The following is a 16,206-nucleotide window of genomic DNA, read 5'->3' on the forward strand; positions in this document are numbered from 1 at the left end:
CATAATTTTATTCTTTTTATGGCTGAATAGTATTATATTGTATACATATACACCACACATTTTCATTGTCCATTCTTCTGTTGATGGACACTTAGGTTGATTCCACATCTTTGCTATTGTGAATAGTACTATGATTAAGATGAGTATAGGTGTCTTTTGATATATTGACTTTTTTTTCCTTTGGGTAGATACCCAGCAGTTGGATTGATGGATTGAATGGCAGTTCTATTTTTAGCTCTTTGAGAAATTTCCATAGTGTTTTCCATAGAGGTTGTAATAATTTACATTCCCACCAATCATGTAGTGGATATTGAGCACTTTTCCATATACCTGTTAATCATTTCTATGTCTTCTTTTAAAAATGTCTATTCATGTCCATTGCCCACTTTTTAGTGGGATTTTTAAAAACTGAGTTATTCAAGTTCTTCCAATATATTCTCATAAACAGTATATTACAATATCTAGTATACTCTAGATATTAGTCTCCTGATGGATGAATAGTTAGCAAATATTTTCTCCCATTCTGCAGGTTGTCTGTTCACTCTGTTGATTATTTCTTTTGGTGTGCAGAAGGTCTTCAGTTTAATCAAGTTTCATTTGTCTACTTTAGTTTTTGTTACCTGTGACTTTGAGGTCTCAGTCATAAACTGATTGCTCAGACCAATGTCCAGAAGAGTTTTCCATAGGTTTTCTTCTAGTATTCTTATAGTTAGGGGTCTTATGCTTAAGATGTTAATCCCTCTTGGGTAGATTTTTGTATGTAATGAGAGATAGGGGTCTAGTTTCATTCTTCTGCATATGGAAGTTCAATTTTCCCAGCACCATTTATTGAAAGGAGAGTTCTTTCTCCAACATATGTTCTTGTTGGCTTTGTCAAAGATCAGTTGGTTTAAAATATGTGACCTTATTTCTGGGTAATCCATTCTATTCCATTGATCTATGCATCTATTTTTATACTAGTACTATGCTGTTTTGGTTACTATAGCCTCATAATATAATTTGAAATTGGGTAATGTGATCTCTCCAGGTTTGTTCTTTTTGCTTAGGATTGCTCTGGCTATTTGGGTTCTTTTTTATGGCTCCATATGAATTTTAGGATTCTTTTTTCTAATTCTGTGAAACATGGCATTGGTATTTTGATAGAGATTGCATTGAATCTGTAGATTTCTTTGGGCAGAACGGTCATTGTAACAATATTAATTCTTCTCATTCATGAGCATGGGATGTTTTTCCATTTGTTTGTGTCATTGACAATTTCTTTCATCAGTGTTTTGTAGTTTTCCTTGAAGAGATTATACATGTCTTTAGTTAAATTCATTTATAAGTATTTTATTTTTGCCGCTATTGTAAATTGGATTATTTTCTTGATTTCTTTCTCAGCTAGATCATTATTGGTATATATGAATGCTTTTAATTGTTTTATCACTTCCCATTAATATAAGCTTTTTTACTGTTTGGGTACATAGGAACTACATGCATGGAAACCACCTGGGTATTTCATTTTTTGATCTAAGTAACAAATGAATTCTGAGAACTAACTGTGCGACGTACACCAAGAAAGACAGACAAGATATAAACAGTAGTGTTTTTTAAAAATAATTCAAATGATCACCTATGAAGTAAAAATGGAACAATGCACAAAACAGAAACAATTCTACTGTGACAACATTTAATGCTGTCATCACTTGAATGCATTTTAAACTATCAGTGTAAAGTTCTGATGAAAAAAATTAGAAAAGATATCTACCTTATGACTCACTGGCACCTCTACTTCACAGTCTGCACTGTCTCTTGTATTAGGAAAGATATATTTTCTCAAGTGCCACATGCTCAGTGCCTCCTTCATTAAGGGCCAGTCTAATGTGCCTTTACATTAATTCTAAGGGATCCTGTCCTATATATTCACTACACTGAGGGACTTCCAATACTCTCTTCACAAAGAAACTCCACTATCCAGTATTCTCATTCTAACTCATATCAGAGGTCAAGAAACTTGTATTCCTCCTAAAAGGACCCAAACTACAATCGCACTTCACCAATAACCTACTCAGAATCTCTTCCTCCCACCATCAGGCCTGTCCTCTATACAGTAATAATGGGCAGAAGAAAATCTAGATTACGTGCCATCCTATTGTACTCTTAATCTCAGCTATGATTGAGGGCTGCCATCATTTTACAAACCAGATAGTTGTGTATAATTTTCAGAAGGAGTGACCTAAGTTACTCCAGTTTCACTGAAACAGTTAAAGCCTCATACAATTCCCTGAGAATTTGACTTTTTGATCCAACCAACCAATATAGTTTTAATGAATTCTGAGCACTGATGGTGCTATATAAATTACAAAAGAAAAAAAGACAAGACACAAACTGCAGTGGTTTTTAAAATGTATTTAAATGATCACTTACCAAGTAAAAACAAAGCAATGTATAAAATACAAGCAACTATCCAGTGACAGCATTTAATTGAGAATTGATAGGTGACAATGTTAATTTCAAGAATGTAAAATATCAAATTTTTGAGAAATACCCTGAGATACAATAATAAAATGAAGTATAAAAAGTTCTATTTACATAATTAACCCTAAATTTGGTGCTCAAAACATTTTTATAGTCTTTGGTAAGTGCTGTCTACACATAAGTGCCAAACTAATAAAAAATATGTCTATAATACAATAATTTTTCTATATATTTTTTTTTGTCTTTCATGCTGTCCTTTAGTTGGAGAAAACAAATAAGTATGTTAGACCAGTAAAATTTCTGCAACTTATGTCATTTTTAGGGGAATAACTGGTAAAGAATGGTAAGAGAACTAACAGTTTTTGAATGTCTGCAGCATTTAGGTCACGGTAGTACGTACTTTCTATTTATTACCTGTTGAAAAACTTCATAAATGCCTTCTTACATCAGAACTTCTGTCATTGTTCTAAGGTGAAAAACAGAGCCAGAGAATTGATCTAACTTAGCCAGTCAGGTAGAGGTAAGATGTAAACAGTGGTTTGTCTGATCTCAAAGTCCGTGTTCTTTCCATTCTATAATGGTGTCTCCCTTATAACTTGGAGTATCTACTAGTCTGGTTAACTGTATCAATTCGTATTTTCTAGTGCATTTACTGGAAAAGAAAAGATGCTTAAGAGAAGGCTAATGCACATTATTGGGCTTGCTCCAGGTCATAAACTTAAATAGTTTTTGTACCATCTGACAGAACAATAGCAATAATAAAAACTATCATTTACTGAACTTTTAATATGTGTCAGGCACTCTCCTAGTACGTTACATGCATTACCACATTTAAACCTCAGAAAACCCCTATAGAATGCATCCCATTAATCCATATTGGAGATGAAAGAAAAAGATTCAGGGAGATAAAATAACTTTTTAGGAAACATGAATAGAGTATTTTCCATCCATGATGCCCCAGATTGATTAACGCTGACGCTCATGCTCTGTCTACCCTATTCCATCCTTCTCATTCTTGAAGTGAGAAAACAGTGTGACATTCTGAATAAAAGTAAATTGTAAGAACAATTGAAGTTTAAAACACTTGTATTGGGATAATGCCACCTCATTTTATGACTACCTGGAATGATATCCCTCTCTCCTTTGTTACTTAAAGATTGGTAGAATTAAAATAGATATATTTGCATATACATTGGAGAATATTTTATATGCAGAGTAATAAGTACTATTAGCATAAGTACACAAAAGTAAAAAAAGATAACATTGTTTTTATTAAAGTTGAAGAACAAAGGCATAATTTTAATGCAATTACTATGTAAAGGACACACTGACTGTCAGTAATAGTAATGTCCTGCATTAGATGAATCCAGTTCAAAAGTGTTTAATGTGAGTATTCTCCTTGAGAGAAAATGCATACCTGTAAATACTCTATCACCTCAATTCTAAATAATGGCTATTATGTACATGTTTCTTGGATTCAGTGTAATTTCATCATTATAAAAATAAATTCAATTACTTCATTAAGATATTTTTGAAAATATATCTATGACAGAAGTTGATAAAAGTTTATGTATTCAACATTTTTTGTCTGATTAATGCTAAGTCAGTCGCGTTTTGCTCAATTCATTGACACTCTTAATTTGGAATTGCCAAGTGAATATAACTAACAATAATTATTATAGAAACAATCTCATATGCTAGAATAATAAAAAGTGCAAATGTCCCTGTAATCCCAGAACTTTGGGAGGCCAAGGTGGGTGGATCACCTGAGGTCAGGAGTTTGAGACCAGCCTGCCCAACATGGTGAAACCCAGTCTGTGCTTAAAATACAAAAATTAGCCGGGTATGGTGGCGGGCACCTGTAACCCTAGCTACTCAGGAGGCTGATGCAGGAGAATCGCTTGAATCCAGGAGGCAATGATTGCAGTGAGCCAAGATCATGCCACTGTACTCCAGCCTGGGCAAAAAGAGTGAGCCTCTGTCTCAAAAAAAAAAAAAAAAAAAAATGCAAATGCCATTAACACTTATTAGTAACATTAGTTATTCATCTTTCAGTAATATAAATGCTATGCCTCTTGTGTGTATGAAATGCTTCCCAATTATTCACACAAAGATAAGTTAACTTTGAAATGACTGTGATACAAAAGTGCTGAAAATTTTAACTTTTATATTTTATTTATTTAATTAATTTTTAGAGACAGGATCTTGCTCTGTCGCCCAGGCTGGAGTACAATGGTGTAGTCATGGTTGACTGTAAACTTGAACTCCTAGGTTCAAGCAATCCTTCCACCTTGACCTCTAAAAAGCTGTGGGATTACAGGTATGAGCCACCATGCCCAACAGACTTTTATATTTTAATAAATAATTTTTAATATCTGAAATTCTGGGCTTTTCCTCCTCATAAAACAACAACATTGTAGTAGAGAGACTTACATACCACTTAGTTATTCAACTTTATTGATACTGTATCTTTTCTACCATGTTGTTTTTTATTCAATCAAGTTTATATCTCTACCTCTATACCTAAAATGTCGTTTCCCAAAACACTGTGAATTATCTTACCAAGTCCTCATACTTGATATTTTCTAAAATATTTTAGAATTCCTTTCCTAGCCTTTCTAAACTTTTAAAATACTTTTTGCCACAATCTCCTTTATAAAATACCGTCTTCATCTAGTGTATCTTGTCATTTGCCTTGTACCTTTTCTGGCCATACTTTCTTAGACTGTTTCTCTAGGTCTTCTCCCACTGTGGCCCTTTATATCCCAATATTCTCTGTGAAATATCCTGGCTCTTCTTTTCAATATTTTCTTTGCTTTAATGATCCCTCCCACTCCCATGGCTTGAAATATACATTTATTGAGTTCCATGCTTACATCTTCAGCCTAACTCCTTCTCCTAAACTGAGTCACCCATTCACTAATTTTCCCATGAGATATATTGGTCTAAATATGTCATTGCTACCTCAAGCTCAGTATATCTGAATTAAATTGATATTCTTCTTCACAACACTAAGCAATCTGTTCTTCCTTTTTTCATACCCTGTACCTCCTTTACTGACTACAGGCATGATGAAAACCTTGATGGCATTTTCCTACTTTCCCTGGAAGGCACTGTGTCTTCTGCACCCTAAATCTAAGCTAACATTGCTTCAGTGTGACCTCAAGCCCTCTTCTACTCACTCTTCACTATAACTTCTATTGTCGGAGTTCTGTTTCCCTTTGCCTCTCAGTCAACGACTCACGTCACTGGCCTTCCAGCTTCTAAACTCATCTCTCTTCATTCTAGACAAACAAAATATCACTCTTCTGCTCAAAGTTTACAGTGGCTACCACCTACTTATAAGTTAAAGTCCAATATCTTACCATTGTTTGAAAGTTTATTGATAATCTGGTCCTAACTCACTGGATTGGCATGAAATCTTTTCATTGCTATCCCACATCCTGGGCTTGAGGTGCTGTGTACTACTGGGACTTTCAAGATCTAGGAAAGCTGCTGTGCCTTTTCACTTTTATTTTTTTCCTTCTCTCTGCTTAGAATGGCCTTCTACTCCTTCCTCAGTCAAAATCCACCTCATCCTTCAAGACCCAGATCATATATTAAATTATCTTTGCGACCCTTCACACCTCCTTTATCAGCCAAATAACTTCTTTGTTCTTATAATGTTCTGTTCATGTGTATGGTATGCCATGTTGTAATTGTGTACTTATAGTGTTGTTTAATTGTGAGTATCTCCTAAAGCCTGTAATCAGTTGAATAAGAATTTTTTTAAAAAAGTTAATTGTGAGCTTCTCAATGGCAGGGATGGCAGTATCCCATTCAGCTTTTACCACAGTGGTTACATATTTTAGCTCCTCAAAAACTCTTTGTTGTGAGTTGACTTAATAAAGCACATAGATAGATAGATAGATAGATATTTAACATTACATATAATGTATAAGTAATAAGTATTATTCATGTATATATTATATGTATACACACATGTGTACAGTTGGCTCTTGAACAACATGATTTGATTTGGGCAGTTCAACTTACATGCATTTTCTTCCACCTCTGCCACTGCTCAAACAACAAAACCAACCCCTTATCTATCTTCCTCTTCCTCCTCAGCCTATTCAATGTGAAGACGATGAAGATAAAGACCTTTATGATGATCCAGTTCCATTTAATGAATAGTAAATATATTGTCTCTTCCTCGTGATTTTCCAAATGTCATTTCCTTGTCTCTAGCTTACTTTATTGTAACAATATAGTATATAATACATATATAAAATATGTATTAATTGACTGTTCATGTTATCTGTAAGGCTTCTGATCAATAGTTGGCTATTAGTAGTTAAGTTTTGGGGAAGTCAAAAGTTATACATAAATTTTCCACTGTGCATGTAGGTCAGGACCCCTAATCTGTGCATTGTTCAAGGGTCAACTTTATATACCCTTATTTGTTGTATATATGTATTTATGTGTGTATTTATAATATATGTATCTGACATATGCATTCATATATATGAAGCCCTTTAGGGGTTAAAAAGGCCCTTAGATATCATTTTATCTATTTAATGAGTATTACAAAATAGGAAGCCAAGAACCAAAGTCATTAATGACTTTACCAAAGTTCTACAGCATGTTAGTAACATACACAGTTTGAGTTCCTGTCCCAGATCTTCATCCAGTGTAACAACTTTCACTACATCATTTTAATTCAATAATCTCACCATTAATATGATTCTCTATAATCCTCTGTACCAAGACCAAGCTTACCCCATTGGAACAGATATTTTGGAGTATGTCACCTCTTTTCTCTTCCAATTCCCTTCTTGCCTCTTTATTTTCATCAAGTGATACACACATAGTGATTCTGTAACTTCTAAATTTTCATTTATGGTATATCTTTTTTCTTTAAATATTCTCTAGTTCTTTTGAGAACTACGTTCAACTCCTTTACAGATATATTAAAGTCTCCTTTCCCTTTGGTAAAAAAAAAAAAATAAAGAAGTCATTATTTTGCTTTCCAATTGAATGAACTATTTTTTTTTTTTACCAAACCAAGGATCACCAGTCAAGAAATATCTTTAACATCCTCATCACACTAGCTTACATTTGCATACAGCTTTGAAGTTTACCAATCACTTTCTCATAACTCATGTGATTTTCACACACTGCAGATAGGCAGAAGAAGGTGTCATCACATTTACATGCAGTTGAGAAAACTAAGGGTCAAAATTTAAGTGAACTGCCAAAATTCCTACAGCTAGCAAGAGCTAGGACTGGCACTGGAATCAAGGTCTCCATATCATTGTTTCTGAGAGCTTCCCACTATTTTAAACTGTTTATTGGCTTGTGTTCCTACCATGACATTTATGATGACATATATTGACACCTCAGATGCTGTACAGTGAATGTTGGCTGGGCTCTTTTCCATCTGAATTATTGCTTGGCTCTTGTTACTTTGCTAGTATAAATTTCAACTAGGCAACTACTATTTCATCCTACACTGACTTACCTAAGAAGCTCTCCCCAAGCATCCATATGATACCATTTAATGGTAAATTATAATTTGATTAATGTTTGTCATTATGAATGTGCTTTTAACAAGTAAAACCCTAGCTTACGCTAAATTAGAGATCTTCAAATCTTCGTTTCAAATTGAAGTAAATTAATTTTATTTCATTTGAATTCATTACTCAACTGATCTTCAAACTTAAGGTGTTAGCAAGAATAATCTTGCTTTTTAAAATGTGTATATGTTTCATGTAATCTTCTAAGACAAATTGTGTACTTTGACTTTAAATAAATTTCTGTTTAATCTCCTCACTAAATTTCTGGATAGCTGCAACTTCTTTAAAAATTCCAGATATCGATAGTGATGCAATTGTAGAGTAGACTGAGCTGTCTCTTCAGTAGTGGTGCAGAGATGGGCTGAAGCAGGAAAAGACACTCACTCCCTGAAACCTGTTTGCAACCCCATGACGAATACATACTTTCCCTTTCAACTACAACATTCTCTTAATGTTTGGCATGACCAAGTTATTCTTAAATTACCCCCTAGCTCTAAGCAACAGGAATAATCTTTTCCCATTTTATTCCTATGAACATGTGAAGTTTCAGGTCCCCTAAGGAATTCTCAATGTTTTTTTAATGCAGAGAGAAAGCGAACCCGCAGAAAAGGGGTTGGTAATTCCTCACTCCGTATTGTTTTCCTGCCTGTCACGGCCCCCGCCAGAAACTCCAAGCATTTTGCCAATGGGTAATGATGGGCAGTTAGTAGCTGCTTTTGTTGGGTGGTTGAAAAACAAAGCAAAACAATTCTCAAGGAAGGAAGAGAAAGTTTGAACCCAGACATCCTAAAAGTTGTACACTTTAAAAATCCTCCGACTCGCTAGTTAATAATTGAGTTTTCAGTCTTTCCCTGAAGGCTCACTGGAGCCCCATTTGCCTTTAATTGTTGGAACCGCCCTCACTTGGCTTGTTTCTGAGGTGTCCCACATATCACAAAGCTAAAGTTAACAAATTCAACTCTATATCCACAAATGTCATGACAGTGAGCATATTGCTTTGCCTAAAGAATAAAGACTGAGACTAAACTCTTTGCTTGTTCTTTGCTAGAAATCTGTTTGAGAAACTCCTAGTAGAATGAAAATCCAGGGGTTAAAAATAATGCACTTCATCATGGAAGTGCGCGTTGCCCTCATTACAGAGCTGCGAGAGAAATATTCCAGCTACTCACTGTTGCCTCTTAGTTGTTATGCTTTTCTTTCCTAATTGCATCGGACATGACCTATTTGCTTCCTAAGAAATCATACTTTTTACCTTAGGATACCAGCATAACCAAGCCATCCAAAAGCACCGGGGTCCCTACAGAAGCCCACCAGCTCCTTAATGTGGCCCCAGATGTGAAGATGGGGAAAGGGTAACTCCGTCCCACTTACCAGTCTTCCACAGATAGAGGGTGGGCGCCTCCGCCTCGCCCTGCGCCGCAGCCCTGCCGGCGCCCGGGCGTAGCAGCAGCAGCAGGAGCAGCGGCAGCGGCAGCGGCAGCGGCAGCAGCTGCAGGACGCCCCGGCGCGGCCCCGCAGCGCCCCGGCTCCCGGACGCCCAGCGCCTGGCTTGCAGCCCCATGCCGCCTGCAGCCACTCCAGGGTCCAGAGCCGTAGCACGCTCGGCAGGGAATTTTTCTCCGCTCTTGGAACGTCTTTTCAAAGAGTACAGAAAGCAAAGCTCTTTCCTGCTATTGTTCGCTTCAGATGAGAAGGAGGGAGAGCGCGTCTAACACCAGGGAACAATAGCGTCCGCGGTGGTGGCCGTGGCCGCTGCCGCCGCCGCCGCCGCCTCTGGCGGGGATGCTGCTGCCGCTGCCATTCCTCGCAGAATGGCAGGTCCCGGCGGCTCCGGAGGCAACTGTCCTCAGGGGGCCCCAGCTGACTGAGCAGGTCTGCTAGGTCTGGGAGGCAGCGCAGCCCCCGCCAGCTGGAGGGGGAGGAGGGGGGCGTGAGCCCAAAGGAGCAGAGGGGGCTGGAGGCAGAGGGAGGCGAGAGCGCGAGGGCGAGAAAGGGGGCGAGCAAAGGGGAGAGGGGCCAGCCAGGCGACACCCACCTCCGACATACCCGCCTAAAGAACTCCGGTGCACATGGTGCGATGAAATATGTTTGGAAGGATGCACCAATAAAAAGAATCATCACCCGGCAGATTTCAGAATGACAAATAACAGGCATTGATATTCACTGTCATCCAAGGAGTCAAATGCTAGATCTAGTGGCATGCTATTCTTAGTACGTATTTACACAAAGCATCAGTGTTTATTATCTATTTTTAAGCCATGGCTTCTGAATTACTTTGTGTGGGGAGCAGTATTTGAGATCAGGTGTGAAAACACGAGAGCAGAAATGTTGACTTGTCAAAATGCACTTAAACCCTTCTTTAAATGTTGTTTTTAACTTAATCTATTATCAATAAAAATATGAGCAATATTGATGCTCTGTGACAAATTAAATTGTCTTTTAATAGCCTTTAAAACTGAATTAGTGTTAATGAGTATTTGCAATGCTACCTAATTACATAAATACAATTGTACAAAAAAAAAACCCTTAAAATTAAAATTATATTTCAGGTATAGAGTTCTGTCCCTTCATCTACTTCTTTCCCTCAAAAATATGCTACTTCTAAGTATTCAGATAGTTGTGAGTCAAACTGAGTCAGTAATGCTGTCTGGATATCTTGGAATTAGTAAATTCTTCATTTAAAATTTCCCTGACACCGATTTTTCTTAACTCTTACTGTAGCAAAATGCCTGTCGCAATCTAAATAAGGAACCACATGTGTTTGCATCTTTTGTCCTTTGTGTTTTCACTTTCTTCTACCAGTAGTAATAGAAGAATGTGTGTGAAGTCGGATAATGCTTTCCCCTTTCTCCTTCTCCCTTTAGCTAATAATAATATATTTTATTATTAATTCATTTCACAGTAAAGCTAAAATAGTAGGCATTTAACCATTAAAAATTCAGCAAACGGAAAGCCAAAGAAAACTACTATCCCATCAGCAATTTTCAGCCAAATAAAATAAAATTTTAAAAGCAGGAAAACTACTTTTTATGAATTTACTCCAACATAGCTACCCTAGAGTTTAAGATGAGGAAGCTACTCTTTCTGAAAGAGGAAACCTTCCATAAGGCTCCCTTGGGACCCTTGTCATTTTGCAAAGCCTTCCAGACACAGCCCCTCTGCATGCATTAGATTAAAAGCGGGTTTGATCAAATAATTCCCAGGTCCTGCCTGTTTAAGTATTCTGACATCAGAGGAAATTAGCTACGTTGAAGGTTGCAAATTTGGTCTTTGTTTACTTTCCGCTCTGTTAGGCCTCTAAGAAGGAATTAAAAGCTCAGAGAGCCCGAGCGCTGTGAGTCTGTGATTAGGAGAGATAAGCTAGTGTGGCTTACTATTTCTTCACTCGTGAAAAACAGGCAACAATCAAAAGATTATAGGTTGATAAGGAATAAAAAGGAAGCCTGATCTTAACTAATGTATGGTTCCCTGAAGGATCACTTCTTTTGACAGTTACACCACAGAAGGAAATGGGACCTGCTATTGCTTCCTGGGTTCTGTCGTTTCAGGAAAATTTCCATGTCCACTCCACAAGGAATCATTTTCCCATCCTTTCTGCTTGTATTTCTCAGCTACTGTTAGTGCCCTAAACCTTGAAATCCTCTAACTCTGGCACAGGAAGTATTTCAAACTGGACATACTCTGCTAACAGCAGCCATTCTACGCATTCGTGGGAAGCGCCAATCAATTCACCAAGTGGGAATTCATTATATAACAGAGGACAGAGAGTCTGAGGAATTAAGTTAATGTGCAAGGTCATTTACCTAGCCCTTCAAAAAGCCATCCGACACTATACTTAATAGCTTATTGTCAAAAGAAATTTTAAGATTCTGACCTTTATATTTACCCATGGTGGTATAATAATAACTCAACTTGTCAAGAGTGTAAACATCATAGCTACAAATTCAAGCATTATACGGGGTCAATTTCTAGGTTCCAATTTGCTGCCATTTACAATACACAATTATGGTGATATGTTCTGCAGTACTGTTTCAAAATAGCCAACATTTGGTTTCCTTCTTTCAATTTCAACGTACACAAGGCCTAGGAGTCACACACACACATGCACATACACAAACACACACAATCATCAGCAAAGATATCTCTGAACAAGGTTAGAGAATCCAAGTCATATAAACATTTGTCTCCACACCTGCCACACATTTGTTCATAACAATGTCATTATTGCACTTGAGGACAAAAATGTATGGGTCTCTGAGGAGACAAAAGTGATGTATATATCCTGATATGTGTTCCTTTGTGAAAGGTATAGTGTCTAGGTAGATAAATCCTATCAATAAAACTGATAGATGGCAAGAGATAGCAAGACATAGCAATATTTGTTTCCTAGAATATGACATAAATAATAATACACAAATGTTTAATGACATGATGTCAAAATTTAGTCATGAGAAGTCTCAAGGATGCAGATTAAATTGACCATCTGTACAGCCTGCCATGAAGTAAATCGTTCGTCATTTTTCATGGAGAACTGTTCAAATATTAATGAGCCAGTGCGATAAAAGTTCTCCAAACCAATGAATGACAAATGCAAAGCATATTTTTTTAATATTTAGAAATGAAAAAATTCTAAACTTATCACCTCTCATGTGATAGGTGTCTTTATTCTGCCTCTATTAATTTTGCTATCATTTCTAAACTCCAGAGGTAAGGATGTGAACATACCTATACACATCTGTTTTCTCTTTTATTAGAACATAAACATATAAATATATATTACAACTCATGAGACTCATGACAATGACTTTTAGTCATTAGTATCAATATTTTAAAACAATTATGAAATATTCAGTTCCTTGATGGAAAGGGAAACAACTTTTAACATCAACAGTTTTATAATTATAAAAAAGTGAAGAAATATAGTTATTTATTGATAGTATTACATATGGAAATATCTAAAGATGTCCATTTTGAAATAAAAACTTAAAAATAATTCTCCACATAAATGCATTTTGCATCCTAAAAAATAAAAAATACCCAAAGGAATTCTATTTGTGCAACCTCTAGGTGTCACACTTGACCAAGATTTGGATGAGACAAAATTTATTTTGGGCTTCTTTCTATCCTCCCCTTCCCTTGACACCCACCCACCAAGTTTATAGGTACACCTCATTTTACTGTGCTTTACACATATTTTTGTTTGTTTGTTTGTTTAACAAATTTAAGGCTTGTGACAACTTGGCATTGAGCAAGTCTATCAACATAATTTTTCCCACATGAAGTGCTCACTTCATGTCTCTATCACATTTTGGTAATTTTCATAATTTTTCAAATGTTGTCACTATTATTCTATCTGTTATGGTGATCTGTGATCTGTGATCTTTGATGTTACTGTTGTAATTATTTTGGGGCACCACATACTGTGCCCATATAAAATAGCAAACTAAATTAATGAATGTTGTTGTGTATTCTGACTTCTCCACCAACAGGCTGTTTCCCTATCTCTCTCTCGTTGGGCCTCCCTTTTCCCTGAGACATATGAATATTGAAATTAGGCTAATTAATAACCCTACAATGGCTTTTAAGCGTTCAAGTGAAAAGAAGAATTACAAGTCTCTCATTTTCAATCAAAAGCCTAAAATTATTAAGCTTATTAGGGAAGGCATATCAAAAGCCAAGATAGGCCAAAAGCTAGGCCTCTTGCACCAGTTAGCCAAGTTGTGAATGCAAAGGAAAGTTCTTGAAGAAAATTAAAAGTACTACTTTAGCAAATACACATATGAAAGGAAGCAAAACAGCCTTATTGCTGATATGGAGAAAGCTTTAGTGATCTAGATAGAAGATCAAATCAGCCACAACATTCCTTTAAACCAAAGCCTAATCCAGAGAAAGGCCCCAATTCTATTTAAACCTGTAAAGACCAAATGACATGAGGAAGCTGCAGAAAAGTGTGAAGCTGGCAGAGACTGTTTCATAAGGTTTAAGGAAAGAAGCCATGTTCACAACAAAATTGCAAGGTGAAGCAGCTGTAGCAAGCTACTCAGAAGATGTAGCTAAGATCACTGATGAAAGTAGCCACATTAAACAATTTTCAACATAAACAGATGAAAGTACCTACATTAAACAATCAATTTTCAACATAAATGAAAAAAGCCTTCTATTAGAGGAATATGCCATCTAAAATTTTAATAGCTAGAGAGGAGAAGTCAATGCTTGGCTTTAAAATTTCAAAGGACAGGTTGACTCTCTTGTTAGGGTCTAATTCAGCTGGTGATTTTAAGTTGAAGCCAATGCTTACTTACCATTCTGAAAATCCTAGGGCCCTCCAGAATGTACTAAATCTACTCTGCCTGTGCTCTATAAAGGTAACAATAAAGGTGAATAACTGCCCATCTCTTTAGAGCATGGTTTACTGAATATTTTAAGCCCATTGTTGAGATCTACTGATCAGAAAATAAGATCTCTAATGGAGATATACAGGATATTAATATTTTCATACCTGATAATACAACATCAACTCTGCAGCCCGTGGTTCAAGGAGTAATTTTGACTTTCAAGTCATTATTTAAGGAATATATTTTGTAAGGTTTAAGCTTCCTTACATTATAATTCGTCTAATGGATCTGGGCAAACTCACTTGAAAACTTTCTAGAAAGGGTTCACCATTCTAGATACCTTTAAGAGCATTGATGTTTTATGGGAAGAAGTCAAAATACAAATATTAACAGGTTTGAAAGAAGTTGATTTCAACCCTCATGAATGACTTCTAGGGGTTCAAGACTTCTCTGGAGGAAGTCAATACAGATGCAGTTAAAAAAGCAAGAACACTAGAATTGAAAGTGGAGTCTAAAGATGTGATTCAATTGTTTCAGTCTCCCGATAAAATATGAACACATGAGGAGTTGCTTCTTAGGAATGAGCAAATAAAGTAGTTTCTTGAAATGGAATTTACTTCAGGTGAAGATACTATGAAGAGCGTTGAAATGACAACAAAGGATTTAGAATGTTACATAAATTTAGTTAATAAAGCAATGGCAGGATTTGAGATGATTGACTCCAATTTTGAAAGCAGTTCTACTGTGGTTAAAATGCTATCAAACAGCATCACATATTACACAGAAAGCTTTCATGAAAGGAAGAGACCATCAATGCAGCAAACTTCATTGCTGTCTTATTTAAGAAATTGCCATAACCACCTTAACCTTCAGCAACTACCACCCTGATTAGTTAGCAGCCATTGACATCAAGGCAACACCTGCTACCAGCAAGAAGACTACAATTTGCTGAAGGCTCAGATGATCATAGGCATTTTTTAGCAATAAAGTATTTTAAAATTATGTACATTTTTAGACATAATGCTATTGCATACTGAATAGACTATAGTATAGTTTAACAATAACTTTTATATGCCTTCGGAAACCAAAATATTAGCATAACTTGCTTTATTGTATTTGCTTTATTTCAATAGTCTGAAACCGATTTCTCTATAACTCTGAGGTATGCCTTTATTAAAAGACAGAAATTTTCATCTTTTATCTTTACAAGTAGCTATATATTTTACTTTTTTGTTTTTTCAAATTCCGGCTTTAGTATTTCTTCTCTCTTTTCTTTCCCATTTCTTTCCTTTTTTTTTTTTTTCTTAATAGACACTGTTTTGTTGTTGGTTTGTTGGTTGTTTGGTTGTTTTGGTGGTTTGTAAATTTACGTATGAGGGACGAGCAGATTTTAAATTTCAGATTGTTTTACATAAAATTAATCTCATTGTTTCTCCATTTTATTCATTAAAAAACCTGTTTGAAAATAAAATCTGCTGCAAATGATTGGACCCCTTGATTTTAACATCAGGTGAAAAAATACAGTATTCTGTTTCAGAACCTTTCAGAGTTTGGGGAATGGATTGCTCACTGCAGGACTTACAATGAGGAAGAACCTCATCCCAGATGGAACGTAAGGAATCAAAAGACCCTGGCACTAGGTAGCAGAAATATTGTTAAACATTTTTTACTAGTGGTATTCTTGCCAAACTCTTTCAAAAAATTGAAGATGAAAACATTCTTCCTAACTCATTCTATGAGTATAGCATTATCTTAATACCCAAACTAGACAATGACACAACAATGAAAGAAAACTACAGGCCAATATTGCTAATAAACAGAGATTCAAATATTCTTGACAAAATAATAGCAAGCTA

The 16,206-nt window shown here is 36.0% G+C and overlaps 1 protein-coding gene across 5 annotated transcripts in view, besides 3 other annotated features; it reads right to left on the bottom strand.

Annotated features, from left to right (window-relative positions):
- Window positions 1–9,828, bottom strand: part of THSD7A (thrombospondin type 1 domain containing 7A) — a 461,834-nt gene extending 452,006 nt beyond the window's left edge. For all 5 annotated transcript variants that reach the window (XM_006715662.2, XM_006715660.2, XM_006715659.2 and 2 more), the window contains exon 1: window positions 9,387–9,828. In XM_006715662.2, the coding sequence (XP_006715725.1) occupies window positions 9,387–9,576 (190 nt within the window). In that variant the 5' untranslated portion in view covers window positions 9,577–9,828. The remainder of the gene's footprint in view (window positions 1–9,386) is intronic.
- Window positions 7,573–7,867: a silencer, noted in NCBI's record as "tiled region #6026; HepG2 Repressive non-DNase unmatched - State 24:Quies". NCBI's record gives its function as "represses a minimal TATA promoter and a strong SV40 promoter by Sharpr-MPRA in HepG2 cells {active_cell/tissue: HepG2}" and the evidence as "EXISTENCE:reporter gene assay evidence [ECO:0000049][PMID:27701403]".
- Window positions 9,425–9,965: an enhancer, noted in NCBI's record as "H3K27ac-H3K4me1 hESC enhancer chr7:11871421-11871961 (GRCh37/hg19 assembly coordinates)". NCBI's record gives its function as "activates a minimal SCP1, AML or CMV promoter by ChIP-STARR-seq in naive H9 embryonic stem cells {active_cell/tissue: H9 hESC(naive)}" and the evidence as "EXISTENCE:reporter gene assay evidence [ECO:0000049][PMID:30033119]".
- Window positions 9,966–10,505: an enhancer, noted in NCBI's record as "H3K27ac-H3K4me1 hESC enhancer chr7:11871962-11872501 (GRCh37/hg19 assembly coordinates)". NCBI's record gives its function as "activates a minimal SCP1, AML or CMV promoter by ChIP-STARR-seq in naive H9 embryonic stem cells {active_cell/tissue: H9 hESC(naive)}" and the evidence as "EXISTENCE:reporter gene assay evidence [ECO:0000049][PMID:30033119]".

Source organism: Homo sapiens, chromosome 7 (assembly GCF_000001405.40).
Source record: "Homo sapiens chromosome 7, GRCh38.p14 Primary Assembly".
Classification (NCBI taxonomy): domain Eukaryota; kingdom Metazoa; phylum Chordata; class Mammalia; order Primates; family Hominidae; genus Homo; species Homo sapiens.